The sequence below is a fragment of the Homo sapiens genome, chromosome 6 (genome assembly GCF_000001405.40).
Source record: "Homo sapiens chromosome 6, GRCh38.p14 Primary Assembly".
Taxonomy (NCBI): Eukaryota; Metazoa; Chordata; class Mammalia; order Primates; family Hominidae; genus Homo; species Homo sapiens.
Genome location: NC_000006.12, coordinates 38,039,134 through 38,061,367, shown reverse-complemented (window position 1 = coordinate 38,061,367; position 22,234 = coordinate 38,039,134). Strand labels below are relative to the sequence as shown.

The following is a 22,234-nucleotide window of genomic DNA, read 5'->3' as shown; positions in this document are numbered from 1 at the left end:
AAACATACTGATTTTAACATTCTGTGCAAAGCCAAAGACGCATGTTAAAAATTTAAGGGTAATCAGAAGGAAAAAGGGAATAAAGAATAGTTTTTCAAACTTTTCAGAAGGAAAGGTCATAAGGAAAAAGGCAGCAGAGAAAACAGCAGAGTAAACAGAAAACACATAATAAGATGGTAGAAATAAGTACAAATATGTCAGTAATGGTAATAAATGTAAACAGACTGAACTTATCAGCTAAAAGGCAGAATATTTGGACTAAATGAAGTCCAGTTGTATTCAATTTACAAGGGACATACTAAAAACATAAATATGAGAGGATAAACAAAATGTTAAAGTATAGTTAATCCTTGAACATCATGGGTTTGAACCGTGTGGGTCCACTTGCACGTGGATTTTTTTCAACCAAATGCAGATCAAAAATACAATATTCACGGGATGCAAAAATCATATATGGAAGGCCTACTTTCCATATACGATGGTTCTGCAGTGCAGACTGATGAACCTGAGTATGCACAGATTTTGGTATATGCAGGGGAGTCCTGTAGCCAATCTCCCAAGTATAACACAATCGTATATAAAAAAAAATGTACCTGGCAAATAAATATAAATGAACAGGCAGGGCACAGTAGCTCACGCCTATAATCTTAGCATTTTTGAAGACTGAGGCGGGAGGACTGCTTGAGGCCTGAAGTTTGAGACGAACATGGGCAACACAGCAAGACCTCATCTCTAAAAGTTTTAAAAAATGAGCTGAGGGTGGTGGTGCACACTTGTAGTCTCAGCTACTTGGGAGTATCTCTTGAGTCCAGGAGTAAGAAAGAAAGAGGGGGAAAGGGAAGGGGAAAGGGCAGGGCAAGGGGAAGGGAGGACAGGACAGGACAGGAACAGAGAAAGCAGAGAGAGGAGAAAAGGGAGGGGAGGGGGAGAGGGAGAGGAGAAGAGGAAAAAAAAGAACCAAGAAAGGAAAAGGAAAGAAAAAGAAAAACGGGAGGGGAGAGGAGAGGATGAACAGAAAGCTACTATGGCTAGAGTACTGTCAGAATATGTACACTTTAAGTCAAAAGTATTATTAGAGGTGAAGAGGATCATTATAAAATAGTAAAAGAGGCTTCTCCAAAGCCACAAAATACTGTCGTCCCTTAGTATACACAGGGGACTGGTTTCAGAACTCCCGCATATACTCAGGTTCCACAGTCAGCCCTACTGAACCAGCGTATATTAAATACTGGTCCTCCATATACACAGGTTTAGCATCCCGTATTTTCAATCTGGGTTTGGTTGAAAAGCTTCATATAAGCAGGGATACAAAGTTCAAACTTGTGTTGTTCAAGGGCCAACTGTACTTAAACCAAAAATGGTTATATTGATGAGAAACTGACAAATTTCCTACAGGGGACGATTTTAATGTAACGCTCACACAAAATAATTAATAAGCATACAAAGACCAAGTATCCAACAATTAGAGAATGAATTATTTTCTTTTTTTCTTGAGACAGAGTCTCACTCTGTTGGCCAGGCTGAAGTGCAGTGGCATGATCTCGGCTCACTGCAACCTCCGTCTCCCAGGCTCAAGCAATTCTCCTGCCTCAGCCCCCGAGTAGCTGGGATTACAGACGTGTACCACCACACCCGGCTAATTTTTGTATTTTTGTAGAGACAGAGTTTCATCATGTTGGCCAGGCTGGTCTCCAACTCCTGGCCTCAGGTGATCTGCCCGCCTCAGTCTCCCAAAGTGCTGGGATTACAGGTGTGAGCCACAGCGCCTGTGGCCTTAAACCTTTTCAAAGCCCCTGAATATTAGCGTAATTCAGAATAGCAGTTAAATCTCAGATTGAGGGAGGGTGGTATGATGGTGAGAGGCACACAAAAATATCCAAAGACAGGTAATGTCCATTAACAGAAAATTGATCTTAAAATGCTCTACAGTGATTAAATGAATAAGGCTACAAGTATAATAGAAAAATCTCAAAAAGAATGTTGAGAGAGAAAAGCAAGTGAGCTACAGAAAGATATACACGGTATAATAATACTTATATAAAAATTTAAAATATGTTAAGAATACCGCATATTGTTTATGGATACATGAATGATAATAATTACAAGATAAAAACATTCAAGGAAATAATATACCAGATTTCGGACAGTGATTATCTCTTTGAGGCCAAGGGATAAGGAGAAAAACGGGTCTTCTATCTTGTTCTGTAATTTTTTATTTCTTAAGCTGTTGGTAGGTATCTGAGTGTGATTATTGTCTTTATTCTCTATATATTTTAAAAATCTAACGCTACTCTATGAAGTACAGATTATAGTTTATTATATCAATTCAGAGAAGTACAAGATTCTTACAACTTGACATAGCATTCGAACCAGAGGGAAGTGTTGCTATCATACTCTATAACTTCATCAGAATCATTACCTTTTGACATATTCTCAGCGTAAGAATAGCTAGCATTTATGATGCGTTTATTATGTGCCAGGCACTGAACTAAATGTTTTATGTGTATAACGTATTTATGTTAATCATCAGGAAAACCCTAACAAGGAAGGTATAAATAACATCATTTTAATGATAAAGAAATTGAGGTTCAGAAAGTTTAGGTAATTTTTTCTAAGTTAACAGCTAATAAGTAGCAAGGACAGGTCCATTTGACAACAAAGCCCATGGTCTTCAATCACAACCACAGGATGTGGCACTGTGATCACCAAGATGGCCCAAGAAAGAGACCTCCATGTCAAGCCCCCAGCCATTTCCAGCACCACTAGTGAGTGCAATGAATGTAGCCAGTTAGTAACTGCTAAGGTGATCAGTGCTCTAAAGCCCCCACTGCTTCTTTTCTGTGTATTTATTTCTCCTAGCCACTTTCTTGTTCTTCCATGTTTTGACATTTAAAAATGGCTTATTATCTCAGTGTTATTTGTATAGCACCTTCAAGAAACAGGTACTATATCAATGGAATAAAAATACTGCAATAATGATACTTCTTTTTTATGTCATGTAATCTCATTAGCTCTCCTATGTCAATAATCATTGTGTCCCTCCCATAACCATCTGTCTACCATTTAATTGGAAATGTTATATGATCCTGAAAGAACTGAAACTGAGTCATCACTGTACCATCTAGCATAATCCCCAATGCCTGGAGACAGATGCACACACAGAAACTTACTCACTCAGGCACAATAAGCCTTTGAAGGTGAAGGATGTTGGTATCTAAAGACAATTATGAATACCAGGTCCCACCCACACACTCTCCAGCCCATGCTTGCCATGCTACTTTGATGCTCAGGTACTTTCAAGTTCTCTTTTGTGAACTGGCAGTTCAAAAACTTCAGGTTTTCTTTTAGGAATCAGCAGTTGACACAGTGTACCTTCTTTTAACCCATACTCCTTCTATGCCTTTTCTACACCTGCACAGGGTGATGGTGTCATAACATCATTTGGCTAACATACAAACCCAACTGGCTGCTCACAAAGAGAGGAGTAGAAGCTCTATATATTCTCTACTTGAATCTGAAAAAGAATCCAGGAATCACAGAATGTTACAACCTGTAATGGCTTTAAAAATTCAGCTCAATCCTCTCATTTTACAGATAGAGAATGCAAGAGCTGAGAAAATTACTACAACTCACCAGAAACTGAGTTAGAATTTTCTAACTTCCATGCCAAAGTCTGTGCAATACAAAGAGCTTTAGAGTGACGACGTGGATTCAAATCCTGACCTGGCTATTTACTGGGCATATAGCTAAAAGCAAATTCTTTAATCTTTTGAGGCCTTCTGTAAAACAAAGGGAGGTGGTTATTTATACCTCTCAGGAAAATGTGGATTAAATAAGATAATGTACATGAAGAACCTAGCACATGAGTACTTAACAAATGACAGAATTAAAAAGAAAAGGTATTTTCCTAACTTAAAGAAAGGGGCACTAAGTAAGAGTTATCTCTTCATTTTGGCCCTGATATTTGCATCACAGTTCTTATTCTCTTAGGCCTTTCTTTCTGAACCACCCAGCATCCAACTTCTGATTACTGCCAAAAAGAAAGAAACTCTCAGAAGTCTACTCTGAAAATGAAGGGGAACAGATTTATATTACATGTAAAGAAGTAAACAACAAAATATGAGGCACAGAGCCTGCCTCCCATCATTCTACACTGGAGAGCAGTGCAGATGAAAGGTCCAGAAACAGCCACTGCATCTGATTCAGACACAGTGAAGGTCTGTTCCCTTGATATATTTTATAATTCTCATATAAATGAGAAAACTAGAAGTCTCCAAGCTTACCCACCTCTCTAAATGAGAAAAAAACTTAGGAATAACTAATTTTATAAGTTAGTTAATGGTATATCCAAAGGTCTTAAACTTGTCTTGAATAAAGTTGTCAGCCTGAGAGAGGTTTATGTGAATAAAGCTTTTCCAAAGCAAACTGTTACTTGTAAAAACTGAATTTAAAAACGTTTGCACTTTAATGGGAATACTGTTAAGAGTGAACAGCAGCCCAAATCTTGGCAACTTACCTTATTATCATCTAAGGGGAAAAATAATTTCTCAACAAAGATATGCTTGAAACCTTTAGTACCCAGAAATGGAATGTCTCCAGAAGATAAAGTGACCTAATGGTGCTAGCAAAGTGAAGTCCCAGGGACTGGCTACCCACATACTCACTGGCATAGTTTTCTCCACTGTTTTCAGAATGATTTTTCACACGTCAATCTTCTTACTACAAAATGCACTTAAAATACTGGGAGCACTGTGAAAGCACTTTGTCCTGTCCTGCTTCACAAGCCCATTAACCTGGGCAGTCTCTCTAGAACTACACCCTATCTAGCCACTATGCAATACTCCCTTTGATATGCACATGCCCCATTGTTTATCTTTCAGATGTACAATGCTGATTTGGCAAGATGCTTAGACCCCCAATCCCACTTCTAGATTATTACAATAATACGTCTTTCAGAATGATTTCTTCAAAATATTTAGAAAGAATTTCGGTAATTTTGCTAAACTTTTTCTCTCATTGAAAACAAATTAATTCTTTTTAACCCTGTTCCATAACCTATTTTTTTCCTCTTAGCAAGGAATCATGACTGTTTCTTCTTTGTCAAATATAAATGGGTGATCACTAATGAGTACGTGGTCTCATTCATTTATAGATACATGAACTAAACCAATCCACTAGTGTTACACGTTTTCATTTACCAACTTTTCACTATTATAAACAAGATTTCATTGAGCTTCCTTAAGTTATATCATAGAAGTATATCAACTGGTAAGAGAGGACGTACATTTTTACAGCATTTGGTACGTATTATCAAATTCTATTGGCACAGCACTCTGTGATTTCCCATAGCACAAGACTTACTATGGTATATAAGAATCATCCGTTCACTTGTCAGTCTCCTACATTATTCAGGATCCAGGACAAAAAATGGTTCTCAATAAACATTAACTGGATAAATAAGTGGCCAATGCTTTCCTGCAGAAAGTCCATCACTGGATTACATTTAAAAGTATTTATCAATTGTTACTTTAAACCTTTCATAAACTGTTTTGTGTGTCTTTAAGGGTACTCTTAGCATCATGTGGGTCGGCATTTCTAAAAGATAAAGTGCTTAATACCTGTGAATTTCTAATTTCATAATCAGTAAGTAGAGATGAGAAATTCAACTGCACTTGTTCCAACTTACTCATTAGGACTACTTGGGCTCACTAATAAGGCTTCTATCTTTATTGTAGACACTAAAGTTGGGTATATAGGAAACCAAATTCGAAGTAGAAGAGGAACTAAGAATTAAGCGCCTCCTGTGAGTCAAGCACTCTGCCAGGGGCTTTGCATTCATTTTCTCATTTAGCCCTCAAAATAAACTGGGCAAACCTGCTCCCTCCTTAACAAATGCTAGAGCTAGGGTTTGAGACTCAGCTTTATTTGACTCTTAATGTTTGTGCTCTTCCCACTACAGCATGCACCACTGAAGCAACCACTTCCCAGCTTCCCAAAATGTTAACAGCTCACAGCCTGCACAGGGTACACTGCTGGTTCCCACATTTCCATTCTCAGTCTCCAAACCCCATCTGACTATAAATCACAGATTACAAATCCATGCACCCACCAGAAGCTTTAGTTTGGTATTTCACACCATAAAATACTTCATGTTTCAAGTAGTCAAATTTTAAAAAATGGAAAAGGTTGCCAGGGGTTTTTGTTTCTCAATCCACTTAAAAATAAAAATTCATTTCCCATATCTCAAGAGTTTGGTTCATATAAGGCACTGTATAAAGGTCTCCTTTAACAGAACAGGGTTCTGCTCACCATCCCCTCTCCACCCAATTTATGTCCATAATAGGCTACAGCTTCCGTTCATAGAAACATTTCTAGTTTTCTAAAGCTGCATTGTCCCCCACCCCCATCTCAACCGCAAAACTTAAATATCTTATTTTAAAAAGCTACAAAGCCATTAGTAGCCAGCCAATTCATAAACCAGACTTCTAGCCTTCTGATTAAAATCTTAATAAAATTCTGGTAGTTGGATGTTAATCTGGGTTAACAGCCTCAGCAAGAATAAACTGTTTAAACAGGAGTTAGCAAGAACCAATGCACTTATGGACTTGGTTACTATGAAAACCTTATCACCTTATGCATATGTTGTAGCTTATGTGGACTTGTGAGCTATTGAATGTGGCTAAGTTTACTTAGGTGTCCTTTCATGAATATTATCTTCTAGCTTCTTTAAAAAGCAAAAGCAAAACGCCTTTACCTATCAGATTCTCACCCAACCTCTCATGGCGATTCCTTCTCTTTAAAAATCAGACTATCTTCTTTTTTAAAAAAAATTATTTTTATTATTTTTTTCTCTTTCAAAAATTATTTTTATTAATTTAAAAAATCAGACTCTCTTCACTGATCTCAGAATAGACAGACTGAATAACACTGCACGGTTTTTGTGTGCTTCCTTGTTTTTTTTTTTTTTTTAATTTGAGACAGGGTCTCGCTCTGTCACCCAGGCTGGAGTGCAGTGGCACACACATGGCTCACTGCAGCCTCGACTTCCTGGGCCCAAGTGACGCTCCCACCTCAGCCTCCTGAGTAGCTGGGACTATAGGTGCACACCACCACACCGAGCTACCTTAAATTTTTTTTTTTTTTTTTTTTGATAGAGATGGAGTCTCACTATGTTGCCCAAGCTGGTCTCAAACTCCTGGGCTCAAGAGATCCTCCCACCTTGGTATCTCAAAGTGCCAGGATTACAGGTGTAAGCCACCATGCTCAGCCTATGTCCTTTCAAATAAGTTAAAAATATATACATACAATATACACACACACACCTCTACCTGTATATATCCTAATGATGATAAATGACTCCTATCCTATGTTCCCTATTTATGTCCATGAATCTGCAATTTGAGTAATACCTCAAAAAAAAAAATAGACCTTGTCTTCTGCCCTTCCTCCCATCTCATCAGATGATATCAACATTCACATAGAGAATAGTCAGAAGCCAGGAATTATCTTGAACTTCACATTCTCCCTTCTTAATTTTGTATCCCCCAAATTACCATTCTAGTCATTTACAACTCCTAAATATCTCTTGAATCCATCTATTTCTCCATTACCACTGTAGTCTAAGCCATCATCATCTATAAGATTCCTTTGATAGCATCTTTTTTATTTTGAGACAGAGTCTCACTCTGCCATCCAGGCTGGAATGTAGTGGTGCAATCTCGGCTCACTGCAACCTTGGCATCCTGAGTTCAAGCCTCTTCGGTTCAAGCGATTCTCATGCCTCAGCCTCCCGAGTAGCTGCAACTACCAGTGTGCAACACCACGTGTGGCTAATTTTTGTATTTTTAGTAGAGACAGGGTTTCACCATGATGGCCAAGCTGGTCTCGAACTTCCAGCCTCAAGCAATCTGCCTGCCTTGGCTTTCCAAAGTGCTGGGATTACAGGAATGAGACACCATGCCCAGACTCGATAACATCTTAATTGAAATCTTTGTGTCCTCTCTCGGCTCAGTCTGATCTACTCTCCACAAAGCAACCACAATGATTGCAAAAAAAAAAAAAAATTGTAAGAAAACAAATTCTGATAACATCACCTCCCTGCCTAAACCCTTCAATGGTCTCTCATTGCCTTCACAACCAGATCCAGAATCCTAACCATGGCTTAGAACTTAGAACCAGCTACTAGCTATTTCTTCAGCCACATTTGATGCCACTGCTCCTCCTCTCCCTCTCCTTGCTTTAGCCATCTCCAGTGCTCTTGGTTTTTCAGACACTCCATGCTCTTTCTCAACACGAAGTGCTATTTTTTTTTTCTTTTTCTTTTTTTTTTTTTTCGAAATGGAGTCTTGCGCTGTCGCCCAGGCTAGAGTGCAGTGGCACGATCTTGGCTTACTGCAACCTCCGCCTCCCGGGTTCGAGCAATTCTCCTGCTTTGGCCACCCAAGTAGCTGGGATTGCAGGCGTGCACCACCACACCTAAGTTTTGTGTTTTTAGTAGAGACAAGGTTTCACTATGTTGGCCAGGCTCGAACTCCTGATCTCAAATGATCTCCCTGCCTCAGCCTCGTGCCTGTAATCACTCTGGGATTACAGGCGTGAGCCACCACGCCCGGCGGTCAACATGGAGTGCTTTAATCATGACACGTGGGAGATTTTTTTATCCTCATATTCACCTTGGTAAATCCTACTCATATTTGAACTCTTAATATAAGCACTACTTCCTAAGGGAAGTCCTTAAGATTACCCATAGAAGGTACTTTATTAAATATTTGTTGGATAAATGAATGTCTTATTCACAGTGTGCCTCAGCCCCTAGCAAAATGCCTGCCACATAATACATAATATAAATTTGCTGAATTTAGCGTATTGGATACTGATGAACACACAAAGTTGAAAAATATTAATTCTCTTACAGACAATTTAAAATGGATTTTAAATTGCTACAAAATGTATTTATAGGAAGCAAGAGTGCTCCTACCTACAGGAGAAATATTAAGCACCCTGTCAATAAGTAGATGTTTGGATTTCATAAATTATCCCCACACATATAAAAATTTCTTCCTTATTATTCATCATGGATAACTGGTCCTAACAGGACTTACAAGGTCTCTCAAGTCACTTCCTGCTTGCTTAGATTTAAATCACAAAGCTTAAGATTTTTACGAGAGGCAAATACAGGTAACATTAGATTGGCTCCCAAAAGCATATCCTGAAATGTGTCTTGCAAAAACAGGCAACAAGAGAATATATGAAGCTGGCAAAGCTTACTCTTTTCAGCAATTAAACTTACTTTATAATCTAGTTTATCACTGAAATTATACATTCTCTAGATTCTTCACACCTATAGAGCCAACTACTCAGAGGTGTGAACTAGCAAAAAAAATTATTTGGAGTAAGGCTTGTTTCCTATACAGCATTTATTGTGCAGACTATACAGTTTTCCCTGTAACAGTGTTTCATATTCAATATTCATTTACAGGGCATAAATTAACTGTTAACATTACAGCAAATATCTAACAATCCATTAGTACTACAATAACATGTACATTTACCTCATTTCAGTCTAACCACAAAATATGTCAATTTTTTGAAAACACAGGGAGAAGTTTTCTGAATATTGTGGCATTAATCTAGTTCTAACAAAATATGCACTTTATGCTGTGTGCGCATATATACATACAGTTCAGCCATCAAAATTACAGATAGGGTTTGGCATATTGTGGAAAAACTGGGTAAAGCTGACAAAATAAAATAGGCAAGTTGGAGCCTAAAAACAAAACAAAAAACTTCTCTTTGTTTACAGTTGATCCTTGGTATAATCTAAAGACTTCCCCTCAAGCCATTAGTCCTTAGTGTCATTCATGAATTACTCCAATGGCACAGAAGTGGCATGAACGTAACTGCTGGAGAGGCTGGAGGCTGCAATATTTTACCCCAGACCTAAGGCTTTAAATGTCCCATAAAGACTTCAATGACAACAGAATAGAAAAGTAGAAAAGTATTTGGGAATAAATTAGCAAAAACAGCAGGTTAGCACCCCCCTTTTTAGATCACTGATTATTTCTATAATTGTATCCACAGTCCTAATGCTATTAGCCTTTCATTTTACCATGCAGATGTGACAGGAGAAAAGACAAAAAAATAATTCCCACTGCACCTCTCTTTTGAGGGAGAGGATGGTGGTGGGACTGGGAAAAGCCTAGGTGGTGGGACTGGGTAGAGCGGTGGTGGGACTGCTCTTGCCCACCTATGTATGCTCTTACAATCTGGTCCTATTCGTTCTTGCTTCCCTCTATTCACAAAGGCAGCTCCTGACTTAAGGGGCTATTCCTACCCCTAAATACTCCCTCAATACTCCCTGAGTATTTCTACTCAGTTCTCAGCCTCATCATCTCCTACCAGGGTCACACACCACCAATCTTCAGGTCTCCTTCATTTAAGCTCTGCTACTAAGCTGACCACTGCATCTGTTTCAGTAAATTCAACTTAGAGTGGTGATATTAACTTTTGAGACACGTTTTCCCTTAAGATAAAACTTGCAAATGTTCAGCTTAAATTCAAGAAATACAATATGTTATATTTTAAGAATGTCAGCTGGGCACAGTGGTGCACGCCTATAGTCCCAGGGTATTAGTCCGTTCTCATGCTGCTATGAAGAAATACCCAAGACTGGGTAACTTATAAAGAAAAGAGGTTTAATTGACTCACAGTTTCACATGGATGGGAAGGCCTCAGGAAACTTAGAATCATGGCAGAAGGGGAAGCAAACATGTCCTTCTACACAAGGTGGCAGGAGAGAAGTGCCAAGCAAACAGGGAAAAGTTCCTTATAAAACCATCAGATCTCATGGGAACTCACTCACTTTCACGAGAACGGCATGGGGGTAACCGCCCGCATGATACAATTACCTCCCACCAGCATGATGTGGGGATTATGGGAACTACAATTCAAGATGAGATTTGGGTGGGGACACAGCCAAACCATATCACCTGGCTACTAGAAAGGCTGAGGTAGGAGGATTGCTTGAGCCCAGGAGTTCCAGGCCAGCCTAGGTAACATCTCAAAACTCCATCTCTAGAAGGGGAAAAAGAAGCAAAGAATGAATTGCCTTCTTGGCCAGGCACGGTGACTCACGCTTGTAATCCCAGCACTTTGGAAGGCCGAGGTGGGTGGATCAACTGAGGTCAGGAGTTTAAGACCAGCCTGGGCAACACGGTGAAACCCTATCTCTACTAAAAATACAAAAATCAGCCAGGCGTGGTGACGTGCACCTGTGATCCCAGCTACTCAGGAGGCTGACGCATGATAATTGCTTGAACCTGGGATGCAGAAGTTGCAGAAAGCCAAGATTGCACCACTGTGCTACAGTCTGGGAGACAGAGAGAGACTCTGTCTCCCCCAAAAAAAAAAAAAAAAAAAAAAATTAATTGCCTACTCAAAAGTGGTGAATGAAGACGGGGTGGGTGTGAGGGGGAGGGGGTGGGGGTGGGGGTGGGGGAGCGAGGAGAGTCAATCTCTTTCCCAAAGAGTAAAAGACCAAGTAGTGGTTCAAACTTCTAAGATATATTTTTTTGAAGGATGAAATGATGGGCTTACTAACACTTTCTTCTTACATCTATTAAAGCATATCAGGGGGATGTTCAGAGAAGATGACAATGATCTTCCCAAGATTAGGGCTAACTGACTAATTTTTATCCAGTGAATCCAAGGTATCAGAATACATGATGTTTATATAATTCACAATTCCTAAAAGGTATCTATCTCCATATTAAGGCTATCAACTACTGATACAAAAGCTTTCTCCACTAGTGAGAAAAGCTCATGCACAACTAACCTACATATCCTCTGTCCCAGTAGGGTGTGTGTAACCAGACTGCCTGAGTTCAAATCCTGGCTCTATTTCTTAATTGCTGTGTAACCTTGGGCAAGTTACTTAACTTCTCTTGCTCTAGTTTTCTCCCTACAAATGAGAATAATAATACTATCTACCTAATAAAGTTATTTTGCAGATCAGATAATACATGTGGAAGTCTTAGAACGGTGCCTGACATATAGTAAATCTTGGATTAACCATGATTGCTATTCCTCTTCCGACTTCTTAAAAAGTTGCTAGCTTGAGACTAATGCAATGAAAATAATTTCTCTGGTATGAATTATAGCGAAGTCTTTGGCTTCATTAACAATGTACACTAACAAGCCAATCCTGGGGATACAAATACGAAAGTTTTCAGGGACCAGGTGGGTATCATGAATGTGTGAAGTTAGGTGGCCTAACACAACAGGGAGTGCTAGTCATTGTGGCTAACTGGCAAGTGTAAGTCTCACCTAAAGGCATGTGATTTCAAATGTAAAAAAAATAAAAACCTCCAAATACAAGACGTCTGTGCCTTGAAAGCCAAAAATGTAAGACCCTTGATTTAAACAGAGACAAATGAACTTATTATATAAAAGTTTTGAAAACTGCATTATTGATTCTGCATATCAGTAAAGAAATGATTGATCAGATATATGTGAAATAAATGCAAGGAACAAACAGGAAAGTTTAGAGGTATAATACACAAAGAATCAGACAGACCTGTTTGAATCCTGCCTAAGCTACTTAGAAACTGCATGACCATAAGAAAGTTACTTACTTTTATTTCAGTTTCCTCAACTGCAAAAACGTTAAAACCTGTGTAGGATTGTTGTGAGGATGGCAGATAATGCAGCTGCCCCTCATAAAACAGGCATTGAATTTTTTTTTTTTTGAGACGGAGTCTCACTCTGTCACCCAGGCTGGAGTGCAGTGGCGCGATCTCGGCTCACTGCAAGCCCCACCTCCTGGGTTCACGCCATTCTCCTGCCTCAGCCTCCCGAGTAGCTCGGACTATAGGTGCCTGCCACCACACCTGGCTAATTTTTTTGTATTTTTAGTAGAGACGGGGTTTCACCATGTTAGCCAGGATGGTCTCGATCTCCTGACCTCGTGATCTGCCCGGCTCGGCCTCCCAAAGTGCTGGGATTACAGATGTGAGCCACCGCGCCCGGCCTGAATATATTTTTTAATGACCAATAAAAAAATGTTGGGGCCGGGCATGGTGGCTCATGCCTGTAATCCTAGCACTTTGAGGGGCGGAGGTGGGCAGATAGCTTGAGCTCAGGAGTTCAAGACCATCCTGGACATGGCGAAACCCTGTATCTACATAAAATACAAAAATTGGCCAGGCATAATGGTGCGCGCCTGTAGTCCCAGCTACTCAGGAGGCTGAGGTAGGAGGATCACCTGAGCCCAGGGAGGGTGAGGCTGCAATGAGCCATGACTGTACCACTGCACTCCAGCCTGGACAACAGAGTGAGACCCTGTCGCAAAAATAAATAAATAAACAAACACACACAAAAAGTAAAAAAAAAAAAAACAAAAAAAACCCAAAAACCTAGGTCTGGAACAGATCTTCTTAACCTACGGTTCTTATTATCAGTCAGCTTAGGCTAATTTACCTGCAAAAACGAATGACCCTATAATCTACAGGCTTTATAACAATGGTTTATTTGTTTTGATCACATTATAGGTCTACTGAGGGTAGACAGCAGCTCTGCTCCACGTATCTTCATTCCAGGAACCCAGAATGAAGGAGTGGCCCTTAATGGAACACTGCTGGTATCACTGCAAAGGGAAAAGAGAAATGGAACCACCTAACAGCTCTTAAAGTTTCTGGTCATAAAAGCCAAATAAATTTTTCATTAACATTTTATTGGCTAAAAGAAGTCACGTAGCTGAGCCTGATGATCAGGACAGGGAAGTATGAGCCTCACACTGGGAGGGGCACCAAATATGTGGGGACAATAATCTGGGATTCATAGTGTGTGTGCACAGAAAACTTTTGCATGTAATTTTGAGTAATCTTATTAAACTATATGCAATATTGTATATGCATATAGGCACATTTTCCCTCTCAGATAAAGGAATAAAGATACTATATTCTGCAAAGCATCACAGATCACAGACCAAAAGGGCCAAAGAAAAAGTCAGATTGGGTTTGAAAGAAGTAATATTTCTTTTCTTTTTTTTTTTTTTGAGACAGAGTCTCCCTCTGTTGCCCAGGCTGGAGTGCAGTGGCGTGATCTTGGCTCACTGCAACCTCCGCCGCCTGTGTTCAAGTGATTCTCCTGCCTCAGCCTCCTGAGTAGCTGGGATTACAAGTGTGTGCCACCACTCAGCTAATTTTCGTATTTTTAGTAGAAACGGGGTTTCACCATGTTGGCCAGGCTGGTCTTGAACTCCTGACCTCAAGTGATCCGCATACCTCCCAAAATGCTGGGATTACAGGGGTGAACCACCGCACCTGGCCAGAAGTCGTATTTCAAACATATAGCCATTACTAATTATAATACTAGATCAGTACACTTTAGCTCTAACTCTGATTTTCCCAGCTGCTGATTACTAGACAATGTGGGCTGGGGTATCAACTGAACTTTCTACCAGGCTGTACTAAATTCTGTAATAGCGTTAATAAAAATCTGAGTGTATGAATGCCATAAAACCATATTAAGCAGATACTGGCTTACTGAAAATAAAGTTTTGTCTGAAACAACTGTATTTCCAAGCAACTAAAATCCTTGTTCTTTATAAAATATCAGATAATCTAACCCTGACTCAAAATTTTGTGTTTTAAATTAATAGGACCACGACATGTTGGTTTTATCTTTTACTGATTACGAGTCAGGCTCATTCCTGATTCTCAAATGGACACCGGTTACTAAGTCAATGTATTAAATTTTTTTATTTATAGCTCCCTATCAAACAGAGAAAACAAATTATTACAAAGCCCTTCTTAGGAATGAACTGCCTCATACCTAGTTAATCCAATCTGGTTTGTCTAAATTTCACTTAAGACAAGTGAAATTGGGTATAACTAACACATTTTAGAAATATTTTTCATTTGGGAATATGCTTTTTACTTCACTTGCAAGCATGGGTAATTATGTCTTGAATGGAACAGCGGAAGAGGCAGAAGTTATCCATTCTGAAATTATCTTTCAAATATTTAATAGCATGTGATATAGGCAAATTCCTTCAGATAGCACTAAACAAATTAAACGATCAAGTTCTATGTAGACGACAACTCCCATTATCTCTTACTCTTATTCCATGCAGCTCAATAGGAAGTCTTATAGATCAAAAATCCTTTATAATTTTTTTTCTCATTTAGGCAATTTATTAGGCTTAGATCTTGCATTAGTCTGAGAGATGGTGCTTACCATTAATTCTGACAAATGGGCAAAAGGAAAATGAGATATAGTTCAGTCATCATCACCGGTACTTATTTTTCAAATATAACGCCCTTGGCTTCTATAATGAGGGATGGTGTAAGAAAAAGCCATGTAAAAAACACTTTTTGAAGAGCTGTTACTGAGAACACTGTTCGCTACTCTTCTCGCTAACCACTTTAGAGTTCATAACACAATGATCTTTGAACTGCTTACACAGTATTTCCATTTTTGCTTTGATCCCTAGGAAGCTCAGATTTCAATCTGCACTGTCTTTAATGATTATATAGATGTTTATATATGGATTTCTGTGTTCAAATTCCTCATCTTGGTCTTACTACTCAATCTGTATTTTCCCTTTGTCCTGATATCATCATTTTAAAAAGAAAACTATTGTAATCTATATATGATATTTTTTACTCAACTACTCTTATTAGAAAGAGGTAGTGTTAAATAAAATACCATAATCTTATTTTATGTGGGAGATTTCATAAACATTTGAGATAATATATATTTATATCTGTATCAATATTTAAGTGAAGACTACTGATTAAAAGGAAGAAAAATTGCTAGAAAAAATGTATATCAAATTAGGAACAAAATTTTACATGAACTGCATTAGAATTCCTATATAAGGAACTATGATTAGATTCTTATTTCATTTTATCTTTCAAGGCAAAGAATGCATGCATAAGAAATATCAACTAATGTATTAGAATTTCGACATAGGAATGGCCGGGCACAGTGGCTCAAATCTGCAATCCCACTACTTTGGAAGGCCGAGCTGGGTGGATCACTTGAGGTCAGGAGTTTGAGACCAGCCTGGCAAATATGGCAAAACCTCCATCTCTACTAAAAATACAAAAATTAGCCGGGCATAGTGGCATGCACCTGTAATCCCAGGTACTTGGGAGGCTGAAGCAGGAGGACTGCTTAAACCCAGGAGGCGGAGGTTGCAGTGAGCCAAGATCCCGCCACTAACACTCCAGTCTGGGCGACAGAGTGAGATTCCATCTCAATAAATAAATAAATAAATAAATAAATAAATAAATAAATAAATAAATAAAAGAATTTCCACATGGGGAGATGACAGCTATAACTAAACAGGTTTTAAGGTAAGACATGCCAAGTCTAAGTAACAGATCTAAAAACAGGAGGAGTTGAAAAACCACAGACAAAAATCAACAGAAGACGCTTTGGAGGCTAGCTACAATACAACAAAAGCAGTACAATTTCCTTAACACTTTATACTTCAATTGTCTCAGCAGAAATCATACAAATCTAAAAAGACTGGCTCAAAAAAGAAACAGTAATTACTTTTGCATCTTCGCAAAAATATCTTCCGCACAAACAGCCCCAAAACTCCCATTTCATGAAAGTGATTTACCATTTCGCTTAGCTCTGTATGTGAAAAACACTGTAGTGCAAACTCAAGGGAAAAACTAGCATGTCAAGAAAGGCTGCAGCACATTCCCAATTCCTCTTTTAATACTGTTTATCAATTCGATAGTTAGATTCCATTCATCTTTTTTCCTAGAAAGAAAAACTAAAACTAAGAGCGACAAGGAAAATTACCATCTCTGCAGCAAAGGTCTTGCTGAGACATTAAAGATGCCTAGTCAAGAGTGAACTGTGGCTCTAGCACTCAGGCGCTCAAGTTCTTCTGCAAGATGGCCAAAGGACCAATTTCATTCATTTCAGACAAACTAAAAACGTTACCCTGCCAATCTAAAAAAAAAAAAGTAAGAGTGTTAACTAGACTTACTTTCAACCAAATTAAAATCCAGCAATATGTTTTTTAAATTAAATAAATCTTCTCCATTAACTAGTCATGGCCAGAAATAAATGCACCAAAGACAGTAATTAGTGTACTGCTATGGGTGTAAGGAAAAGTGTGAAAAGGGTCAGTTTAAAGGAGAAAACAAAAACACCAAAATTAGCTTATACTAGTAGTGACTGTATTCAGAAGAACAGATTAAAGACTTTGGAATGCTTTTTTATTGGATTAGTTTTTGTTGAGATGGCCACAATTACGTATACAAGAGAAGCTGTTATTTTTGACTGTTGGCCCTGACAGACCTTGTCCCAGAATTTTTTTTATTGTGTCATTTAAAAATAGTTTCACAGAATATACTCATGTAATTCTGTAGATGAAGGGCTTTTAGAAATAATCTACTTGGGCTAGGCGCAGGGGCTCACACCTGTAATTCCAGCACTTTGGGAGGTCAAGGTGGGAGGACTACCTGAGGCCAGGAGTTTGAGACCAGCCTGAGCAACAGTGAGACTTCGTCTCTAAATAAATAAATAAATAAATAAATAAGCAAGCGAGCAAGCAAGCAAGCTGGGTGTGGTGACATGAGCCTGCACCTTTAGTCTTAGCTACTCAGGAGACTGAGGCAGGAGGAGTCCTTGGACCCTGGAGATCAAGGCAGTGGTGACCCAAGGTCATGCCACTACACTCCATCTAGGTTACAGAGCAAGACCATGTTGAAAGGGGAAGAGCGGGAGAGGGAAAGGAAGAGAAGGAGGTGAAGGGGAAGAGGGGAAGGGGGAAGAGGGGAAGGAGGAAGAGGGGAGAAAAGGGGAGAGGGGAGAAAAGGAGAGAGGGAGGGAGGAAGGGAGGAAGAAAAGAGAAAAGCTAAAAGAAAAAGGTGGAGGGGAGAGAAGAGACGGGGAGGGGATAGGAGAGAAGGGGAGAGAAGAGAAAGGGAGGAGAGGGAAGGGGAGCAGAGGAGAGGGGGAGGAGAGAGGAGAGGCAAAAATCTACTACGAGTTCTTTTTTTTTTTAACCTAAAATCAAGGTCAATGGTATTAGCAACATTTTAAATAAACAGAATAGAGGGCTGGGCATGGTGGCTCACAGGGTGGCAGTAGAAAGGGAAAAGGGAGATACGGAGGGAGGAAGAAGGAAAAAACAAGACAAGACAAGACGAGATGAGAGAAACAACAGAAAAGGAAATATCAGCATGCACTACACACAGTAAGGTTAAACTGTCTCTTATAAAACTTCTGACTTTGTAATATATATTTATTATGCACACTTATGTGTATATTAGATCACAATAAAAAATATATTTCTTAATGTAGGCTGTAGTCAAAAAGATTATAATACCAATGATCTAATACATTATTTTTTTATCCGAGCAAAGTGAGGCACAGAAGGGAAGATATCAACCTGTCCTGGGCATCCTTGGCAGGAGCTCAAGTGAGAAACATACAGAAATGTCTGATTTGAAAAGGGAAACGTCTCCCACCATGAACGCTAATCTATGACTTTCTCAAGTAGGTTTTTATTACTTAATATAAATGATCTATTTTGTTAACCATCTATTCTTGAAAATACACCCTATAAACCTAGTTCAACCATTCAGATAGTTGTGAACTATTAGTCCTGAATGGCACTGAAAAGATACTCTTGTTTTTCTTACCTTCCTTTCTTGCATATGTTTCTTGTGAGAGCCAATAATGACAAAATTTCCTTTAAAAGAGAGGTCTTAAAAAGCAGCTCGACCAGGTGCAGTGGTCCAAGTTTGCGATCCCAGCACTTTGGGAGGCTGAGGCAGGTGGATCACTTGAGCTCAGGAGTTCAAGACCAGCCTGGCCAACATGGCAAAACCCCATCTCTACTAAAAATACAAAGATTAGCTAGGCATGGTGGTGGGCGCCTATAATCCCAGCTACTCAAGAGGCTGAAGCAGGAGAATTGCTTGAACCCGGGAGGTGGAGTTGCAGTGAGCCGAGATGGCGCCACTGCACTCCAGCCTGAGTGACAAGAGCGAAACTCCATCTCAAAAAAAAAAAAAAAAAAGCAAGCTCAAGAAGGAGTTATATGTGACATGCATACTTTTATTTTCCTCCTCAAAATGGCCAAAAGTGTGATTTACTTAGTCCATGCATTGTTTTAAATGCATAACCTTTTTAATGCAGCAAATTCTATTTTAAGAAAATCATTTTAAGGAAAACAAAACAAGTACAAAAGATATATATTAGGCCAGGCAGTGGCTCACACCTGTAATCCTAGCACTTTGGGAGGCTGAGGTCAGGTCACCTGCAGCCAGGAGTTCAAGACCAGACTGGTCAACAAGGTGAAACCCTGTCTCTCCCCCTCCCCCCCAAAAAAAAGCCGTGTGTGGTGTGCACACTTATAGTCCCAGCTACTTGGGAGGCTGAGGCACAAGAATCACTTCAACCTGGGAGGCAGAGGCTGCGGTGAGGCGAGATTGTGTCACTGTACCCCAGCCTGGATGACAGTGGCCCAGAGCGAGACTCTGTCTCATATAAAAAAAAAAAAAAAAGGAGGAGAAGAAGAAGAAAGAAGAGGAGAAGAAGAAGAAAGAAGAGGAGGAGGAGGAGGAGGAGGAGGAGGAGGAGGAGGAGGAGGAGGAGGAGGAGGAGGAGGAGGAGGAGGAGGAGGAGGAGGAGGAGAAGGAGAAGGAGAAGAAGAAGAAGAAGAAGAAGAAGAAGAAGAAGAAGAAGAAGAAGAAGAAGAAAAAGTAGATAAAAAAACAGTGGTGACATCACAAAACAGAAATCAGTTTGAAGGGATGCCCAGGAGCCAAATCTGGGACAATCTGAGCATCAATAATAGTAATAACAATAGAAATTAGTAATGGATAGCTTACTAAATAAAATAGAAATCCATGGGTTTATAATGATATAATTTAAGAATGAGGGAGAAGAAAAAGCTCTTACAGTGGAAAGCAAACTAATAAACACAGAAGAAATTATGCAGTTAACAAAAGTCATCAATAGATGCTAAAAAAAACTAGTAAGTGAAATTTCCATGAAGAAAAGGACATTTATATAGTCTCAAAGTATCTTCCACAATTTCTTACTAATTAGTAAGGGAATGCAGGAATTTTATAGTGGAGAGACATGAGCACACTACCTTAATCACATGCTTCCTGATACTATGCACTACAGACACACATTACTTTTGTGATATTGCTCCCTAAAATGCGTAATTTCAATCTAATCATGAGGAAACATCAAACACAAACTGAGGGACATTCTACAAAATAACTGGCCCATACCCCTTACTAATATCAAAGGTCAAGAAAAACAAAAACAGGCTAAGGGACTGTCACACACTAAAGGTGACTAAGGAGACATAACTAAATGCCAGAAATGAATTAGAACTTGATGGCAGGGGGAGGGGCACAGGCGGCAGCAGGGAATAGTTATCTTTAAAAAGGATATTACTGAGACAAGTGATGAAATTTGAATATAGACTGTGGATCAGATAACAGAAGTTTATCAATATTAGATTTCCTAATTTTGATAATTGTACTGTGGTTAAATTAAGAGAATGTCCTTGTTCTTAGTATACATGAAAATATTCAAGGATTAAAAGGCTTGATGTCTTCAGCTTATGCTCAAATGGTTCAGAAAAATATGCACGTGGGTGTGTGTACATACAAACATACATACAGAATAAAACAAATGGGGCAAAACATAAACAACTCCCGAATCTGTATAAAGGACATACTGGAGATCTTGTATTAGTTTTTGCTGCTTTTCTGTATATGTTTGAAATTGTATCAAAATTAAAAGATTTATGTTTTTAAATGCTGTACTTCACATCAAAACTAAAGTTTTAAAAAGATACGTACATGGAAGCAACTGAAGTGTCCACTGACAGATGAATGTATAAACAAAATGTAGTATATACATACAACAGGATGTTGTGCAATCTTAAAAAACAAGGAAATTCTGTCCAATGCTACAATATGAATGAACTTTAAGAATATTAAGTGAAATAAGCCAGTCACAGAAAGAAAAATACTGAGCTGTATAGTTAAGCATTGTTAAGATAGTACTTTTATGTTAAGTGAATTTTACCACAATTTGAAAGTTTGAAAAATATATAATGAATTTTTAAAAATTTTAAAAGATGTGTATGCAAGAATAGTCACTACAACCTTTTCTGTAAGTGTTAACAACCAGAAGGTCCTTTAAGAGCTGAGGCAGGTATCTACATACAGACAACGAAAAAAAGTAGAAAATGCAGGCTTATAAAGTACTATGCTTTATATACTGACTGTACAAAAATAAAATTTTTCAGTGTTTTTTTTCTAGTTTTTAATCCATTTCTCTCCCCAATGTCTCAAGAGATGCATAAGTTTAAGAGTAATAATATTCAGGTGAGAGAATGAGGAAGAATAATATTGTTTTCTGAACAATAGTCGGCTTTCTTTCACAGTAAGCATGTATTTTCAAAAATATTAAAAACAAAGCACAGAAAACATGCCTAATAACCACTTGGTCCACCATTTAGAATTCATTTTAATATTAGTCATATTTGCATTATGCATATGAATGCATATAAAAATTTTTAAGTATTATTAATAAAGCTACGGTTCTCCTCCCTAGTGCTTTTCTGCTCTGTAAACACAACCAATATCATGACTCTGGAATGTCTCCTTGTAGACCACATACTTATACTTTTCCATGCACTACAGAGTACTGATTTTTAAAATTTACATAAATGGTACTGTACTGCATGTCTTACACTATAACTAGCTTTTCCTCAATTCGTTTTTATGTATATCCATGCTGACACATATGCATCTAATTTATGCATTTTATCTTCTGACTACTACTCTACCTTATGAATACATTATACTCCTCTTGTGTCTCCTTCTGAGGCAAATCCTGGGGAAAATTATAAATCCTTTACAACCCAGAACACAAATGTGTATAGAAAAGGTTAAAGAGGAAGAAAGTGGCCAATTAGGTCATTCCATGACCTTAGGTATGTTTTAAAGCTGGCTATGAACAATTTTAATCTTCAAGTTGCTAAAAATCATTGATGTGAGACAAAACACTGAGATTCTATACACCCTCAGATCATCTCATTCTTTCCAAATAATACTTACGGTCCTTTAAGATTGTCCTTTAGTAAGGAAGCAGATTTTAAGAGGAATAAGACATACCTTGTAGAAATAAGACCCAATACCTTTTAAAATTTTATTAACAAAACACAAAG

The 22,234-nt window shown here is 38.6% G+C and overlaps 1 protein-coding gene across 4 annotated transcripts in view; it reads right to left on the bottom strand.

The window, feature by feature from the left end:
* ZFAND3 (zinc finger AN1-type containing 3) overlaps nucleotides 1-22,234 on the bottom strand; it is a 334,898-nt gene that overhangs the window by 93,257 nt on the left and 219,407 nt on the right. The window lies entirely within an intron of this gene.